Raw genomic sequence first — 18,805 nt, forward strand, 5'->3', positions numbered from 1 at the left:
CCTTCTCCTGGAAGTTGGGAGCGCAGGACCAAATTGTCTCACCCTAACACCCAGAGTTAAATATGATTTATCTAAATCTGTTTATAATTTAAATATTCATTAAGTAGATTCAATCACATGAACCCTAATATCTCCTAATGCTCTGAGACAGGTTATAAATGCACCTTTGAAGGTTTAATTCAATTGGCAATCTGAGAAGTCTTATCACTGGAAATGTGTTATTTTCATATTATTCAAGAAATGAACAAATGTGTTTTCCACAAATGTATTTTAGAAGCTACCCTTTCCTGTTATTGAAAGAAAATTGTGTTTATTACTCCTTTAGCATAGTGTAAACTCATAAACGTCAACAGAGAGTACAAGGAAAACTGTCAACTAAATATTGTTTCCTTCATGAGCTGTTCTTCCAAGTCAATTACGCCTTTCAACTTCTGGGGCATTGTATGATAAACTGGCAGTAAAAATCATTCACATTAATATACCATGGTGCCTTGCCTGCAAAAGGTAATTAAAGAAGTAAATGACTCATAAGAATAGACATATTAGCTGCAAAATGAAAGGCAACTGAGCTGCCACATAAAAATATGTACCATTAAGATACTGCATTTTCATATTCCTGTAATCAGCTTCAGTAGACTAATGCTTATTTAATCCAGTTCTGTGCTAAGTCCATCAACAACTGTTTTTTGCTGTTTTCTCCTTGACTGAACATTATGAGAGCAGGTTTAGAATAAACACTGCAGTGAGATTTTTGCATACGCAATTGAAGAACAGGTTTTTACATTTTAAAATCTATTTTTCTTTCTCTGAGAAATACAACAAAAAAAAAAGATTACTGGTGGAAAAAAGTATATATGTACATGGCTATCTAGACATGTCCCTTTAAATGGCAGAACATTTCAGTGAAATATTTGTTTCCATATTCACTATTTCTGACCTGTACCACTATCAGCATAAGGATGTCATGCCTCCACTTGCCAGATCTCAGCTTCCTTTATGAAGCACTCCCTTTTGTTAATAATGTCTTCCATTAGCATTAGCAGGATGAGGGCAATTTATCCTTTGGCAGGGATGGAAAGAGAAGGCAAGATATGAGGAGGGGGTTAGTGTAGTGGGTGGTGGGAGAGTATCTCAGACACGCCTAGCGGCCTCTGAGTTCTTTTCCTTCCAGGGTGTTAGCTACCTGACTGGATAAACCTTCTCAAAGAGAAGTGAATTGACCCTCAAAATAACTGCTCTATTTTCCAATCTCTGGCTTTCAAACTGACACTTTGCTCTCTTCTCCATATCCCTTTATATTTCAGCACATCCTTGCCAGCCCAGCCAAGGCACAGCAAAACATCCTCGCCAGCCCAGCCAAGGCACAGCAAAACATCCTCCATACGGTCTGAGATTTTTCACTTCACTTGCTCACTTCTCTGCTGCGGGAAGCTTAATCTTAACCAGTGAGATGGGTCCACCATTTGTACTATTAATATTTTGGGGAACATTAGATGCATGAGGTTTCCTGGAGGCTGGAGAAATGCCTGTTCTGATTGTGGAAATCAGGGCTCTTTGTTGATAACTGATGCAGCCTAAAGCTTTTGTGGCTCCAGTTTGGGAGTTTTAGCTTTCAAAGCTCATGCAGCTCCTCCGATGTCCAATGCCAGCAGTGAAAATCAGCCTAAGGTATCTGGTCTTCTATCATGTTTGTCAACAATTCGCCCACCTTCAATAACATCCGAATGCATCTGGATGGTGCCCACTAACCTACCAAAAAATCCAAAAGATAATTCTATTTATTTATTTATTTATTATTATTTTTTTTTTTTGGTGCAAGACCATGGGCTTTCAATAAAGGTAAAGTTCTAGATTTCTATACAAGTTGTGCCTTCTCCCCTTCCCTCCTCCTGTGAATACAGAAATCTCTTTGACTTTAAAACTGATGAGCACCCACCAGCCAGGCCCTCAAGGACAGTGCAGGATGTGAGAACGGCCTTACAAGGACCCTCCAAGATATATTTATCTTTTCACAGTTCTTGGAACTGTGGAGAGCCTCTCAGATTTAGGCTGGATCTCTCCTTGTAATGTATTATTGCCTGAGTGTTTGAGCAGACACCACAAGGAACCACAACTAATGAGCTCTAGTCCTTTTTCTAATTAAGGAACAAAGGTTCCTGTGTGCGCAGAATGGTGACGCTGTCTGGAGAACACACGTGGAGGAAGAAGCGAATGCTTCTAATTGCCTCAAAATGGGATTTTTAATATTTAGGAACGTAATGGGATCGGGAAATAAGAACACTTCCAACATCCTTTATAAATAAGCCTTTACAAAATATTGTTAGCTGTTAATAATACATCATTATCAAAAATGGAAAGTCATGAATACAGTGCATGTAACCTTTGTATTCACGTGAATTAACCTATATGTACGAATACAATGATACATGAATTAGTTTTTAAAAATACATTAAAAAAAATAAAAGGCCCTCCTCTGAAAAAGAAAGGCGAGAAGGCAGCTCCTCTGAGCCTGATATTCCTCAGACCTTAGCAGATTAGGATTCAAACATGTAATTAAGAAAGATAACCCCAGTTTTTATAGTAATTAGGGGCTGTGGGAAATAGGATACTATCTCTCAAAAGTGATACAAATATACCACACTTCTAAATAACCTGCAATGCTTGGAAAGTATACTCACTACCAAGGGCAAAGCTGCTATGCAGTGAGGGAACAGTAAATGACAGACTGGCGTTCAAGTCCATTAGCTGCTATGTGATAGGAGCACATTCACTGGCACGCGACCTGTGAAAAATCTTAGATCTCTTTAAATCTTTGAATTGGATTACTGCATTAATTCTTAAGAACTGCAATCCTTCAACCAAGTCAAATTACCCTCATTAACAGTGGAAAAACTGCCTCTGCAATAAGTTAAAAAAAAAAAAGATATTTATTACCTATAATCACTTACACATACTTCACCTAGAAATATGATGAACGGATGCCAACAACTCTGAAAACGGCATCCTGGTTTCGCATGTTAATTTGGGTTAAAATAAAAATACAAATGCAAGTATCTGCATGCTATTTAAAATTTGTTTCACATCTACAGGAAATTTTCTTTTATGATTACAATCCTGAGATAAGTAAATAGCTCCATTTTACAGGAGGGGAAATTGGGGCATACATAGAGATACGGAGCCAGTTGTCTAAGCTTTCCCGGGCTAATTGGGGTAACGCAGAATCTCCTGGTCCTCTGTTCTGGGCTCACACTGTCTGAATTAAATCAGAAATTCAGACTCATAATGGCACTGTAATACAATGCACTGACTTCTCTAAATCAAACTCAGTGAATTAAAAGGGAGGCAAAATAAATGAGAAGATAGGAATGCAGCTTTAGGTATAGAAATGATAACCACAGTAAATACTACAACAGAAGCTGCCTCAATTCTTCCATCACCACATTTGCTATTAGTGTTTAACCTGCCTTGAACATTCATTGAATGTAGAGTGATTAAAAAAAAAAAAAGAAACGTTAATTGATCTACTCTGCCCTTGTTACTCCCTAAAATAGTCTCATCTGAAATGTGATGACAGCTTGACCGACTTTGAACAACTTTGGATACTTTATGGGAAATGAACTCTTTCAAGCCCCACTGACTTCTGTTCCTCGGCTCTATGGATGTCACTGCTTTGGTTCTATTACTTCCCAGCACAAGCCAGGGCAGGAGAGTCCTCATCCCAAGGAAGCCAACCAAGTGGAGACAGGGCTGGGCACAGGCAAGCCAGTCTGCATTTACTGAAACAGACTCTTTCGCTATTATGTGTTAAGGAATGGGAAAAGGTGAACAGGTAGAAGTTGCTTTCCGGACTGGATATGAATCAATACTTCTAGGCAGCCACAATAAAATGCTAACTGGAGTTCATAATAAAACCCAGGGGCACTACAAGGTTCCTAAGTGCCTCTGAATTTAAAAAAAGACAAATTGTGTTCACGGTGGTTGTATGCAGAACGTGTTTATTTCAGTCTAAAGATTTTAAACAAAGTAGTCCTCACTTAATATATGATAATAAAAATCTGTTACATAGAATATCTTCTCCATTGATCCTAAAATCTACTGTAACTTTTTTTAAGGTTGAGTACTCCTTATCCAAAATGATTGGGATCAATGATTTCAGATTTTTTAGGATCTTGGAATATCTGCATACACATGGTAAGATATCTTAGAGATGGGACCCAAGTCTCAGCATGACATCCATTTATGTTTCATATACACCTTATACACAAAGCCTGAAGACAATCTGATACAAGACTTTTGATAATTTGGGGCAAGAAACAAAGATTTGATCGCATTTATGACTGAGACCCATCACATGAGGTCAGGTGTGGAATTTTTCGCTTGTGGTATCATGGTGGCACTCAAGAAGTCTCAGATTTTGAAGTACTTCTGGTTTTGGATTTTCCTGTTAGGGATTTCAACCTGCAACTTCCAAAAGCTCTGTTGTTAAGATGAGCATTTCAATTCCACACCAGATTTGCAGTCATAGTTAAAATAATATAGTCTAATAATTGTGAAAACAGCATTTATCAATCTCACTTTATGTCAGGCATTTGTATTCGCTATCCTTCCAATGACTTTTCAAGGTGGGAATTATCATGCCTATTTTACAGGGAAGGAAAACAAAGCTCAGAGTGGTTGACTATCTTGCCCAATGTCACACAGCTTCTAAGTAGGTATCCAAATACTGTGACTGTCTGGAGGTGAAGCTTAAGGGAAAATCAGAGAGAGGAACTTTTCGAAAGAGGACTTTGAGAAAGGAGAGGCATCTGTCTTGGGATGTTAAAAAAATGTGTCAAGAAGCCAGGCATGGGGCAACCGTAGTCCTAGCTATTCAGGAGGCCAAGGTGGGAGGATCTCTTGAGCTCAGAAGTTTGAGGCCAGCACAGGCAACATAGTAAGACTTGGTCTCCAAGAAAAAAAAAAAAAATTGCCAAGAAACTGTGATCCAGGCTGGGCGTGGTGGTTCATGCCTGTAATCCCAGCACTCTGGGAGGCCAAGGTGGGTGGATCACGAGGTCAAGAGATAGAGACCATCCTGGCTAACTCGATGAAACCCCATCTTTACTAAAATTACAAAAAATTAGCCAGGCGTGGTGGCAGGCGCCTGTAGTTCCAGCTACTAGGGAGGCTGAGGCAGGACAATCAGTTGAACCCGGAAGGTGGAGGTTGCAGTGAGCCAAGATGGCACCACCGCATTCCAGCCTGGTGACAGAGCAAGACTCTGTCTCAAAAAAAAAAAAAAAAAAAAGAAACTGTGATCCAAACATCAGACTGTCCATGACTTGAAAAACTCATCACACGCCTCCTTTCCAGTGACACTGCATGTTTTCAAGGACGACACAAAAATCATTCTTCTTTGGCTCTACCATTTGTAGAGTCCCCTCCCCCACTTTTAAGAGCTTTGTGACTGTCAATCAGGTGCTTTTCAAACAATAAACGCTTAAGCAGTGACCTCATGATTAACTCGGTTTCACTACTCAGGCAACCTTTCAAAACAAATGTTAAAGTTAACCGTTCTACAGGCACCAGAACATTAGCTTCTATTTACACACCAATTAAACACATAATTTTTGGTGACTACTTTGTACTAAGCACAGTCTAGGCACTGGGCCTAGGAGGGAGAACAAGACAGACCTGGCCCTTCCCTTTCTGATACTACAGTCTAGCAGGAGATAGAGTAAGACATCAGCAATCAACAAATCCAGAAATAATTAGAGCCACTGTGAAGGAAGCCTCAGCCTTCATTAAAAAAAAGAAAAACTTAACTTCTCATTTTTAACCTACTCTAGATAAGTCCATCAAGGAATTCATCCACGAAGAGGTGACATTTAATTGGAAACCCACAAGTAAAGAAGAAATCAAATAGCCAAGGAGCAGAAAGAAGGTTCAAGAAGATGGAGCACAGAGGCTGAAAAGAAAGCATGAAACAGTGCTTAAGAAATTAACTTATTGAATCGTTAGTGAAACAGAATTGTGTTGTTCAACTAATCCTATGTCTACTTCATTCTTCTTCAACCCTTTTAAGGTAAACAGAAGTACACAGATTACAAATATGCTTTCAATCAAATGACTTAATAAATACAAAATGTGTCATGTTGACAAACAAAAAAAAAAACCTGTAAAAACATTAAGGAATTGATATAATTACCACAGAAAACAAATACCTTGGAGGTGGCCCTTGGTCCTGTCAATGTGTACCATTTTTAAGGTTGTAATGTCATGTGGTTGGCAGAATTCTCAGGTGACCCTTACATTCCTATGCCTGGTATAACACACCCCTTCCCAGAGAGTCAATCGTGCACTAATCCAGGTGCTATGTGAAGGGGTTTTGTGGATGTAATTAAGGTCCCAAATCAGCTGACTTGAAGAAAGGGAGATTATCTGAGTGGGCCTGATGGAATCACATGAACCCTTTCAATTGGAGTTTAGAGCCCAGAGATAGAGGAAGTCAGATTCTGAAGCACAAGAAAGACTGATGTGCCCCTACTGGCTTCACGATGGAAGAGACCATATGGCAAGAAATGTGGGTAGACTCTAGATGCTGAGAGCAGCTGCAGGCTGACAGCCAGCAAGGAAGCAGGGACCTCAGTCCTACAGCCAGAAGGAAATGGATTCTACCAACATCCTGGATGAGCTTAGGAGCAGATTCTTTCCCGGAGCCTCTTGACGAGGAATCAGTGCAGCTTCCACTTGCCTCCCTATTCTCTGAGGAGAGACTCCATTAACAGTGCACCTGGGCTTCTGACCTACAGAACTATGAGCTAATTTGTGGCAATTTGTTATGCAACAACAAAAAACTAACACACGCAGAAAAAGAGATGAAATCACACTGCTTGCATCTAAAGTTTATAAAAGAGTTTCTCTTAATGAGTAAGAACTCAGATGGGAGGGAGGTGGGAAGAGAGATAAGGGGGCAGGAAAGAAAGGGCAGGGCAGGGCAGGGCAGGGCAGGGCTTGCATACTGGTCCCACAAGGAACGACATGGTGACCCAGGGGAGCAATCGCTTCTCCTCTCTGGGCCTCACTTTCCTCATCTGCAAAAAGTTGGCAATAACAATGGGTGGTGGTGAGGGACGTCTTGGGAAAACACTAAGTGAAAACAGTTTGAAAGTTGAAAAGCACAATCCAAGTTATTTTATATTCTTTCCTGGACCATTTTCATTTTTAGCTTCCTTTTCTAATTATTTTGATTACTTATTCTAATAATGATCAGGACACAAATACGGAATTGTCCTTGGCTAGAAAAGAGAAGAAGCATTTTAAGCTATTGTGGATCTTCTTGGCAGACCATGCAAGGGATGTGGGGATACCTCCCTGGGAAAAAGTGAAAGGAGGTCAGCATGAGGTCCCTGGTGAGGAAAACCCTGTCTCTCATCTTCCTTCCCCTCTTTGTTGCACAGTCTTCTGGAAGATGAAGCCAGAGGCCTGCATTTGAATCCTAGCTTCACTCCTGACCTTAGGCAGTGATCGAACCACACTGCACCACAGTTTCCTCATATGTAAAATGGAAATAATAATGACACCACCTCCTAAGGCTGTTGTGAGGAGTAAGTCATTTAAAATACATAAATTAGGCTGGGCACAGTGGCTCACATATGTAATTCCAGTGCTTTGGGAGGCTGAGATGGGAGGATCGCTTGAGCCCAGGAGTTAGAGGCCACCCTGGGCAACATTGCAAGACCCCATCTCTACAAAAAATAAAATAAAATGCATAAAGTACATGTTAAGAGAGTGTCCAGCACTTCATAAGCACCATGTAAGTGTTACGACGATTACTTTTACCACTGCTATGAATAGGAGCTGATTTTTATTTTCCAGAAAATCTGTTGTCCCTCCAAGGGAATTTGGAAGATGGGGCTAAGTAAATATATAAAAATATGTTTATAATACGGCTTTTACTAATGACTTTTCACGTCGCACTATAAAACCCATCTAACCTCTGATGAAAAAGAAAACCCTTCTATACTCATGATTTTTGCCACATAATTTTACTTTTACATGAATAGGAAAAAAAAAAGTATACAAGTCTTAAAACTTTGGCTTACTGCTTTTTAAGAAGTAGTTTGGGCAAAACCAGCAAAGACGATTCCCCTGCTAAAAGAGCCATGAAAGGTAAGAAATTTCAGCAAGAGGGTCAGAGATAAAAGCACTCAGAAAAAGAAGGCAAAAGTAAAACCAGACAAAGGCTGAGTCCACCTCCGGAGCAGAGACCTCTCATCCTCACTAGTGTATGTACTGAACTCTCTGTGGCCTCTTTCTCAGGGCTGGAGAATGAGCAGTGGAATCAGCTCTTCCCAAACCTACAACCCAGCATGCAAGGCAGCCAAAGAACCAGGCAATGAGAGTGGTGCCCTGGGAACCCTGACAGGAGCAAGAAATGTCCAAGACTGGGTGTTGTTCAGAGGTCCCAGTGCGTGTGCTAGAGTCTCCACACCTGAGCTGTAAAGAAAGCATCTCATTCGGCAGGTAAGATGGGTTGGCAGAAAAGTGGGCAGGAGAGGTTCTTGGGCAAAAGGCTGAGCGTGATTGTGCCCTGCTAGAAAATAAAAATGACCACAAGTGTTCGGGACCTGACAGAACGGGCGAGGAGGCTGAGAAGGAACTGGATGAATCACAAGAGATAGGCTGGGCTGTGTAGAGCATGTGCAGCAGTTTGGACTGACACATTGATTTTTGGCAGGGGGGTACAGAGTATGAGTCTCCTCACATGCATGGATGTGTATAATCACCAGCACAGTCGGGATACAGAAGGCCTCCACCACCCCCCAAACTCCCTTGTGCCAACCTGTTGTAATCACACCCTCCTCACCACCCCTGGCCCCGGGCAACCACTGATGGAGTCTCTATCACTGTTTTGTCTTTTCTGAAATGGCATATAAATGGAATCATATAGTGTGTAATCTTTGGAGATTGGCTTTTTTTGACTTAATACCTCTGAGACCATTCTAAGCTGTGGGTCTGTTAAGAGTTCATCCCTTATTCTTGCAGAGTAGGATTCCATTGTACGGAGGTGCCACAGTCTGCTTACGCACATGCCCAGTGAAGCATGTCCAGGTTGTTTCCAGCTTGGGGCAACTATAAATACAGCTTCCACAAACCTTAGCCTATAGGTTTTTGTGTGAACATACGTCCTCACTTCTCTTCAATACATATACAAGAGTATGAGTAACTGTATGTTTATTTTTATTTATTTATTTTTTTTAAAGAAACTGCCCAGGCTGGGCGTGGTGGCTCACACCTGTAATCCCAGGACTTTGGGAGGTCAAGGCAGGTGGATCACCTGAGGTCAGGAGTTAGAGACCAGCCTGGCCAACATAGTGAAGCCCTGTCTCTACTAATAACACAAAAATTAGCTGGGCGTGGTGGCACATGCCTGTAATCCCAGCTACTAGGGAGGCTGAGGCTGAGGCAGAAGAATCGCTTGAACCGGAGGGCAGAGGTTGCAATGAGCTGAGATCGTACCACTGCACTCCAGCCTGGGTGAAAGAGCGAGACTCCATCTCAAAAAAACAAAAACAAAACAAAACAAAAAAAACTGCCCAGCTGTTTTCCAAGGTGGCAGCATCACTTTATATTCCCACCGGCAATGCATGAGAGTTCACTTGCTCCACATCTTCACCCTCACTTAGAATTACCAGTAATTATTTTAGCCATTTTCATAGGTGTATAGTGGTATCGCATCCTATTTTTTTCCCTTTCCCTATAATTTTAAGTTGCATTTCCCTAATGTCTAATGATGTGGAATGACTTTTCATGTGCTTATTTTTGGTCAAGTCTCTTGCCTCTTTTTAAACTGAGTATGTTTGTTTTGTATTATAGAGTTTGGAAGGTTCTTTATATATTCTGTACACGAGTCCCTTGCTGGAGAAATGATTTTAAAACATTTTCTTACAGTCAGTAGCTTGTCTTTAATCAGGGATTGTATCTGCACTTTTGAAAGTTCTTTTACACTATGCTATGGAGAAAAGACAGAAAGGATGTTGGATAGCAGCAACTTACTAGGAAATGAAAAATGCAACCCGGAAGCTGTGGATGGGCCCAGCGTCTTGAGTGCACAGAGAGGGAACAAACAGGATGCTGTCATGGCACAGGGAAGACTGGGAGAAGCAGTCCCTTCAGGGTGATGCTTTTAATGCTGTGACTAATGATGCCACGTAAAGGTGATGTCTTCCCGTCCTCTGTTTTTAGTGCTGCTGAACCATCCCAGGTAATAAATCAAAGAAGCCAGGGTGGCTATTTGTATGGCAAGATAAGGAAAATTAATTTCAATGCCCAAACATGGACCTCCTTATATTAAAAAATGACTTAGCAATACCAGTCCTTTTCATGAGAATGTCTTGGAAAGCCAGCACTTGGAAAACACACACACAGGGCCAATCCACCCTCTGTATTTTCAAGGGAAATACTGTTGTCTCCTGAGATTGGGGGAAGTTAAGGGGGAAGAATACATTATACAATGAAGAGCAAAAAAATAAAAAATAAAAAATAAAAATCTGATTGAACAAAAAATGTTTGTGGACCTTCACAAAAGAGAGGATTATAATAATAAATTGCATGTAGCAGTCACACACTCACTTCTTTTAAAAACCTTCACTATACTTTACAAACTACTCTAATTGTCTCATTGTCTCCGAAATTCAGATACTTTTGAGTTTAAAACGTGTAAAAATATCAACACTAGGACTGTGAACGAGAGCATAACTAACAATAGTGAGACTCTGAGGCAGCAACATGGCTAGAACATAGAATTAATATCTTGGCTGAAACACTAAGCGGAAGACAAAGTGCAAGGAAAGCCTGGAGACTCCTCCTAGTCCCCAGGGGCTGTGCCCTCCTCCCGGCTCTGAGCACAGCGCGGGGAACAATGTTAAGCCATCCATCACCAGCGAGCGCTGCTCTACTTGCTGGCGCCCAGTGAGCAAGGTTACCACCTGTCCAGCTTGCCTTTGAATGGTCCCCCACACAAAGCCCCTCGTGCTCCAAGTTCAAACTAGCATTTACTCTGGATGCCTAAATTACCTGGCGTTTCAGCCAGCATCTGTGCCCTACCTCTAACTTGGAGAAGTCTTAGTTTAACCTTGGATCTACTGACTATATTCTGGGTCTGCACCAAGTAGGCACAATTTTCCTACACAACCCTCTCTTTGCTTCCCTTCTTGCCCCCTATAATCTCTTCCCTGCATAGCAGCCAGAGGAATCTTTTGAAAATGCACATCAGGTCATTTTGTTGCAAAAGATTTTGTGCTCAGGATCAAAGCCACATTCCAAAGCCTGCCTTTCAAAGATGGGGTCTTGTCCACACCTTCCTGTCTACCTTCATCTCATATCACCTTTACAACTGCCATGGTCTTGCTGCTCCAGCCATCTTCATGATCCCCTTCCCTCTCAGGGCTGTTCTTCCGCCATACACACTATTACTTATATCTCAACACAGCTGGAACCCGAAGATGTTAGCTGATCTTATCACCTCAGAGGTAACATCCTCTCCACCATTAATGCCCCCCATCATTCTGTTCCACTGTCCTCTCAGCAATTCCACCATCTAAAAATATTATGCTTATTGATTTACAAATAAGTGTGAAATTTATCTCTCTCTACTGGATTGAAAACTGCCCTGAAAATTTTCTAGTCAGGTTCATCTCTGTCTACAACAATGGCTAAATCAATGTCTTGGTTATATCAACAACCAAATGAATAAATGATCATACCAAGGTAGGGAGGTGCTTCCAAGATCCTAGCCTTATCGGCATTTATTTTTAAAATAGTAAAAAAAAAATTCTCGTCATCTCAGAAGTGGGAATGCATTTTCAAATGTAATTACGAAAAATTTAGGAACCATAAAGAAAACACTTGATAAATAGAATTATGTTAAAACTGAATATGTCTAAAACAGCATAGCAAAGACAAAAGATCGCCAAAACACTAGAGAAATATTTGCGTGTCAGAACCTAGAAAGAAATTATAATTTTTATGGTTCATAAAAATCGCATAAATCAATATGGAAATAAATAAAATCCAATAGAAAATTAGCCAGATAATATGAAAATACAAATGTCGGCCAGGCACGGTGGCTCACGCCTGTAATCCCAGCACTTTGGGAGGCCGAGGCAGGCAGATCACCTGAGGTCAGGAGTTCGAGACCAGCCTGGCCAACATGGCGAAACCTTGTCTCTATTAAAAGTACAAAAATTAGCCGGGCATGGTGACAGGCACCTGTAATCCCAGATACTCAGGAGGCTGAGGCAAGAGAATCACTTGAACCCGGGAGGCGGAGGTTGCAGTGAGCAGAGATCATGCCATTCATTGCACTCCAGCCTGGGCAACAGAACGAGACTCGGTCTCAAAAATAAAAAAAAAACTAATAATAACAACAACAAAAAGTCTCAAACATTTTTAAAAGGTTATTCAATCTCACTCTTAAAGAAAACTTGCATTTGTTTTACTGATTTGTTTTTATTACATTTTTTCTCATTTATTTTTGAGTCTCATACCCAAGAATAAGCATAGGCCCCTGAATGACAGGCAAAAACTGAAGCATACTAAGGCAAAGTAATTTAAATGCATTACTGTCTTCTTCCTTTGACATATACTTATTGCTTAAGTGATTATGAGCACTAGCCTCAGTTTATTTATCTGTTAAATGGGAATATAGAACTGTCCTTAATTTATGACAATTTGGTGAGAATACATATAAAGCACCATTGAATCTATGGTTATCTTTTATTATTATGCCAGGTAATGGGAGGGTCACCAAACTAGAGCAAATGGAAATCCTGCTTTTCCAGTCCAGCAGGAAGGCAGACATGGGTGAAGCACTCTACTCAAAAGAGAAGGTGGTATATCTATAGTACTAGGAGTAAAGATAAATTGCTACATGAGTTCAAAAAGGAGGCAAGGGCACTTCCAGTTCAGGATGTCAAAGATTTCCTAGAGGAACTGGTGTTTAAACCAGAGCTTGAAGGGTAAAGACAATTTGGATAGGCCTCAGACAACGTGCTTGTACAGTTAGTCAATAATAGTTCTTCTGCAATTATTAGGCCAGGTTCTGTGTCAGGCGCTGAAGACAAAGTAGAAGAGAACACAGACAGCCTCTACTCTTGGGGCATTCTGAGTGTAGTGGGAAAGAGAGTTTAAGTACGTTTAAGAAGTAAAGCAATAACAGGCAGAAGGGTTGCCTGTCTGCGTGGGCTATGGGAGGAAAGGCAAGTTATAAGTAATGAACAGTTCTTGGATTGAGAGGCAGGGTATTCATAAATGTTTCTTACATTATGCTTTATAATTCACCAGCACATTGTATATTGTATTTAATAGAGTCTAAAGTACATTGTTTTTTTCTTTCCATTTTAACATCTCTAAAATTGGGATGCCTCTTAAAAGACATGGGATAAGAAAGCATTATGTGCTAACTAGCTTGGCTGCATTTTTACTTTATTACTGGTTTATAAGATAAAGGGCCTACAGAAGGCCCAATGAAATACGGCATATTCTTTTTTATGTATCAAGTATTTTTTAGAAAGATATAAAAATATTTTTTAAAACTACATTTATGCCTTTTATCAGTCAAATAAGCTCAGTATTATTTTGTTTGCTATTAAAAAAAGACAGATATGGAAGGTATAGCCGATAAATACATAGATGAATTATGCCTCCATCTAATTCAGCTCGTGATGTAAAATCAGATTCTGTTAAAACTAAATGCATGACTTCAACTCTGTTTTCATCCATATATGCAATCAATGCATGTTTTCATTCTTCTCTTTCATTCTCTCCTCTCCCTTTTCTTATTCTTGGTGGGAAGGAGAGAAGGGAATGCGACAGGATTGGAAATCATTTAGCAATAAAAGCAGCCATGAGAATTTACTAAAATAATTATCAACATCCATAACAATGCAAATATTTTAGTCCCTGACTAATCCAGGTATCTGGATCATCTTGATACACAGTCTAATTTTGAAAAATAATTTGGTTCCACAAAAATCAGAGCTGCAATCCATTTGGAAGTGTTTGGTTGGCAGTCTAATAGCAGGAAATGATTTTGCTAAAGCCATGGCAATTGCTTGACGCAGATTCTGATGCTCAGACTATTCTTCCTTCTTTTCCTCTCTCCCCACCCAATTTCCAAAGGAAAGCCACAAATCGGCTCTGCTGTGAGATAAGGGCGAAATCAACGAGTACTAGGGAGGATGCTATTTGGATGGAGTGGGATGCCCTGGCAGTGGCAATGCATGCATCTCTATTTTCCTTTAAAGAGCAATTATGGTTTAATATGGTAAAATTATATCATTAAACCTACTCAACTGGAATAAATTCTCCTTCTGATATGCATTTAGAAAGGCAGTTCATATTCTACCCCTAGAATATATCTATTACATTTTTGTGTCTATCCGCCACTTCTCTTTTTACCATGATACTTGAGATAAGTTTCAGACAGTCTGGCAGGAGGTGAAAAAAACACAACAACCCTGAAACTCGATACTTATCTTACTCATCGAGACCTTTTTGATCTCTGTGAGTGAAAATTAATCCTTAACACCCTCCAACTTCCCAAAGCACAAATTTCTAACATCTTTTTACATTCTCTACAACAGCCATTACTTATTATTATTACTAGAATTTCCCCTTTGTTAAAAAAAAGCACTCTAATTTAAATTAATGAGTTAAGTTTACACTCAAATGCAGAACTGTCACATGCTTATTTTCCAGTTATGAATCTTTACCGCAAGCAGATTAGAAGTATCGCTTGTAATAGAGTTTTCCTCTAGTTCAACGTTAAGTATGTGGCATGGCGGTGTTTTGTTGTCTACCCCGTTACGGTCTCTTTTTTCCTCTTTTCGTATTCCCCAGGATACTGGCCCTGTGAAGCCAGTTGCCATGTCCCCATCTTTCAACTTCCTAGATTGTAAGATATTTGGAATACTGGAAAGACAAAGGGAAGGCATATGGGGGTCAAGAGTAGGCTCCAAGTCTGAAAATTATCGCCAATATTCCAGCTGCTTACCTTACTGGTTTAAGAGCACTGGCTTTAGCACCTACCACACCTGTGCAAATTCCTTCTTAGCCCCTTGTTACCATGTAACAAAGAGCCAGTTATTTAACTCATCTGAGTCTCAGCCTTCTCAACTGTGAAATGGGAATACTGCTACCTGGGAGCACAGACTTATTTGAGAGATTAATATAGCCAAGTTCTTGCAAGGTACACGTCATGAGTGGACATTCATGCTGTATTTTATTGATCTTCTTTTGCGAAGACCCGGACTCTCACCCATATAAGTTAAATTGGCAGCTTTCACTACGCGCGTCAGGATTTATATAATAGGAACACTGCCTAGTTCAATGTGGGAACAAAGTTGTATTGGGGGAGCACTTATGATTGTGGGGAAACAGGACAAAGAGATTCTGAATGCTGCTCATCTGCCTGCCTGCCCAAAGACCACTAAATGTGTCCCTTCCTTCTTTTTTATTAAGGAGTTTGTAAAAGTAACCACTTGGGAAGAAACACGAAGGAACATTTCAAGGGCAAGGGATATAGCCACCTCTGCACTAGATAGAAAGACACAGGTGTGAAGTCCAGTAGTTTGGCAAAATGAACTCCCTTTAGTCGAGAGGATGCATGTCTAAAACATTTTTTTTTTTTTTTTTGCACAAAGTTAATGAAATAATTATTTTTTGGTCATACCTTGCACGGAAAATCTGCCAATAGCATTTGACATTTAGACCCACTAGGCATCTTAAGTAGCCTGCTACTCACAAGACCTACCTTTTCCCACTGCCCTATTTTACAAACACTCTTAGCTCTGTCTCCTGCTCTCCTCTCCTCCAGGAAGCTGGAGAACAATCCACGAACAGTAGTGACTAAGATGGCCCCTAATGACCATATGCTTGTATTATGGCCTTCCCTTGAGTATGGGCAGGATCCATGAATGGGATGGAATACATTCCTTTGATTAAGTTATGCTGTGTGGCAAAAGAGATTTTGCAGGTATAAAGTCCCTAATCAGTTGACTCTGAGTTAATCAAAAGAGAGCTTTTCCTCTGTGGGCCTGGCCTAATTAGGTGAGCCCCTTCAAAGAGGGTCGGAGGCTGTTCCTGAAGACAGAGATTCTTTGGTTGGGTTTTGAAGAAGCAAAGGGCTGTGTTGTGGAGAGGGCCACACATAGGAAACAGTGGGTGGTCTCCATGAGCTTGCAGCCTCAGTGCTCTCCCTGCATGAATTGAATTCCACCAACAGTTAGTGAGTTTGGAAGGGGATCCCAAGCCTCAGGTGGGACCATAATCAGGCTGACCCCCTGAGTACAGATTTGTGAGACTCTGAGCAGAGAACTCAGGAAAACCAGGCCTGGCCTCCACAGAAACTGTGGAATGACAGATATGTGTTGTTTGAAGCTATTAAGTTTGTGGTAATTTATTACGCAGCAATGGAAAATGAATTCACACACCTGTGAAACCTTGCATAGTATATGAATGGGTTCCCCCAGAGGTGGGCTGAGCCCCACCTGAAACCGCTTTGTGGAGGAGGCCCCCAGCGTGTGGGGGACAGCTGTGGCTCTGACCCCCACACAGACCTGCTCCTGTGCCCTAGGTCTGTGACTTACTAGTTCTATGACCTTGAGGAAGTAACCTGACTCTCTGAGGCTCTGTTTCCTTATCTGAAAAATGGGTATAACACCAGTGCTTACCCCACAGAGCTGTGGCAGAGATTAAAAGAGACAACACTCAGAAGGCAGTGAACCCAGGGCCTGGCACACAACTCACAGTGATAGAAGTTAGCTTTGGTATTATTGAAATACACATTCCTGTTCACTGGCCTCAGTTTACCTATTTCCAACAACAAAAAGGGTGGAGTGGAAAGGTTCTGAGCTGCCTTCCCATTCTGACGCACTTACAGAGTCTTTGCTTAATAACTCGGCAAGTCCTTGACAAACTTTCCATCCCTTCCCCACCCATGTGTACGGCAGGCACTCCCAAGTCACCAGCTTCCAGAGCCCCACGCTGGTCCATCTAAAGCCAGAATGCTGAACTTTGTGACTGAGTGCTTGCAACTGTTGTCACTATTCAGATAAGCACATCCTGCTTTCTGTTTACCGACCAGTTAAAGGCACAGAGGGGTACCCGGCAATTGTGCGGCACTTGGTGAAGGCGCCTCCCACACACCTGTGTCTCCCAACCCACCCAGCTCCTGCAGCCCTCTCAGGAGCAGAGCTCAGGCTAGTGAATATACCAGCAGGAATACCCCAGTGAGATGGGGAGAAGTGGCTAAAAGTTACTAGAATGCTGTCGCTGCCAAGTTTTATTTTAGCCCTCATCAATCCAAACCTTTATTCCTGAATTAAGTATTCTCCAGGGACGTTTCCAGGTTTGCAGCTATTTCCTCCTAATGATTCTAGCCCAGCACCAAGCACATTTCAACTTTCTAAATGACTGGAAGGCTTTGAACGTTGACCACAGGCTGCCCCCACTGCCCCCCGCAATCATCTTGACCCCACCTAAGAATTAGTACCATGCTTGAGAAAAAAAAAAAAAAAAGCTATTAATACATCAATGCCTTCTAATCCTCTTGGTTAAACATGAAATGACAACTGAAGATACACATCATGGAATGGCCCTGTTGTATCTGCTGGGGTGTATGTAGGTGTGTCACATTAACCTAAAGAGGTGGATTCCAGCTTAACAAAATAAATCCACTCAAAGCTCCACTCTGATCAAAGGGAATTATTCTAAGAGACAATCATACCTGATGAGATAGCACCTCCACATCACAAGTCAGACAACCTAATGGAATAAATGACAGTAAATTGTAAATACTGTATACTTTCCTTTCTAAAGGTGTGTTTTCAGAGGTACGGCAATAAACATTAATGAATAACATTTATTGGGCCCCTACTATACACATATGACACGTAGCATACTAGGTCCATAGTGATTATGTACAATTGACACAAGGCCCTCAAACACAAAGCAAACATTTATTGTGGTCTAGATATTGTGTAATCTATTTGTTCTCATATAACTCTATGGAATTTTGTTTTTCCCCTTTGCATTCTTCTTCTTCTTCTTCTTCTTTTTTTTTGCAATTGACTAATAATAATTGAATGTATTTATGAAATATAATGTGATATTTTGAGAAAAATTAAATTAAGCTAGTTAATATATCCATCACCTCACCTACTTATCATTTTTTTGTGTGTGTGGGTGTGGTGAGAACATTTGAAATCTCCTCTTTCAGCAATTTTGAAATATATAATACATTATTATTAACTGCGGTCACCATGCTGCACAACAATTTACTAAAACTTCTTCCACCTCTATCCTGGAATTTCTTAAGACTGATTCAGACTGTAATGTGCCTGGGAATCAACGTATTCCTTAAGGAAAACTCTAAAACCATGACATATTTAAGCCTACTGTATGAATTAGAAAAAGCATTCTAAGAGGAAGTATCTCACATATACACTGTCAAATCACAAGAATAGATGTCCATGAAAGCCAGGATTCCTGTTAGTATTCATTCACTGTTGGTTCTTTGGTTCCGTCTTCTCCTCACTGGTGGACAATATTGGGCGGAGGCAAAGAACACGGCTCTAGAGCTGGACTGCCCGGGCTCAATGCTTCGCTGTGTGACCTTGGGCAAGTCACCTAACCTTGCGGTGCCTCAGTCACTGCAGCTATTAAATAGAGATAAAACTAGGTTTTTCCTTTTGGGATTGTTGTGAGGATAAAGTAAGACAGTTCCTGAAAAGCACACTGCCTGGTTCCCCATGGCTCTCAG

The 18,805-nt window shown here is 40.8% G+C and overlaps 1 protein-coding gene across 11 annotated transcripts in view, besides 1 other annotated feature; it reads right to left on the reverse strand.

The window, feature by feature from the left end:
• The window catches only part of FOXP1 (forkhead box P1), a 629,271-nt gene that overhangs the window by 181,292 nt on the left and 429,174 nt on the right, over positions 1 to 18,805 (reverse strand). The gene's annotated exons all lie outside the window — the stretch shown is intronic.
• Positions 8,489 to 8,988: an enhancer, noted in NCBI's record as "H3K27ac hESC enhancer chr3:71193639-71194138 (GRCh37/hg19 assembly coordinates)". NCBI's record gives its function as "activates a minimal SCP1, AML or CMV promoter by ChIP-STARR-seq in naive H9 embryonic stem cells {active_cell/tissue: H9 hESC(naive)}" and the evidence as "EXISTENCE:reporter gene assay evidence [ECO:0000049][PMID:30033119]".

Source organism: Homo sapiens, chromosome 3 (assembly GCF_000001405.40).
Source record: "Homo sapiens chromosome 3, GRCh38.p14 Primary Assembly".
Lineage (NCBI taxonomy): Eukaryota > Metazoa > Chordata > Mammalia > Primates > Hominidae > Homo > Homo sapiens.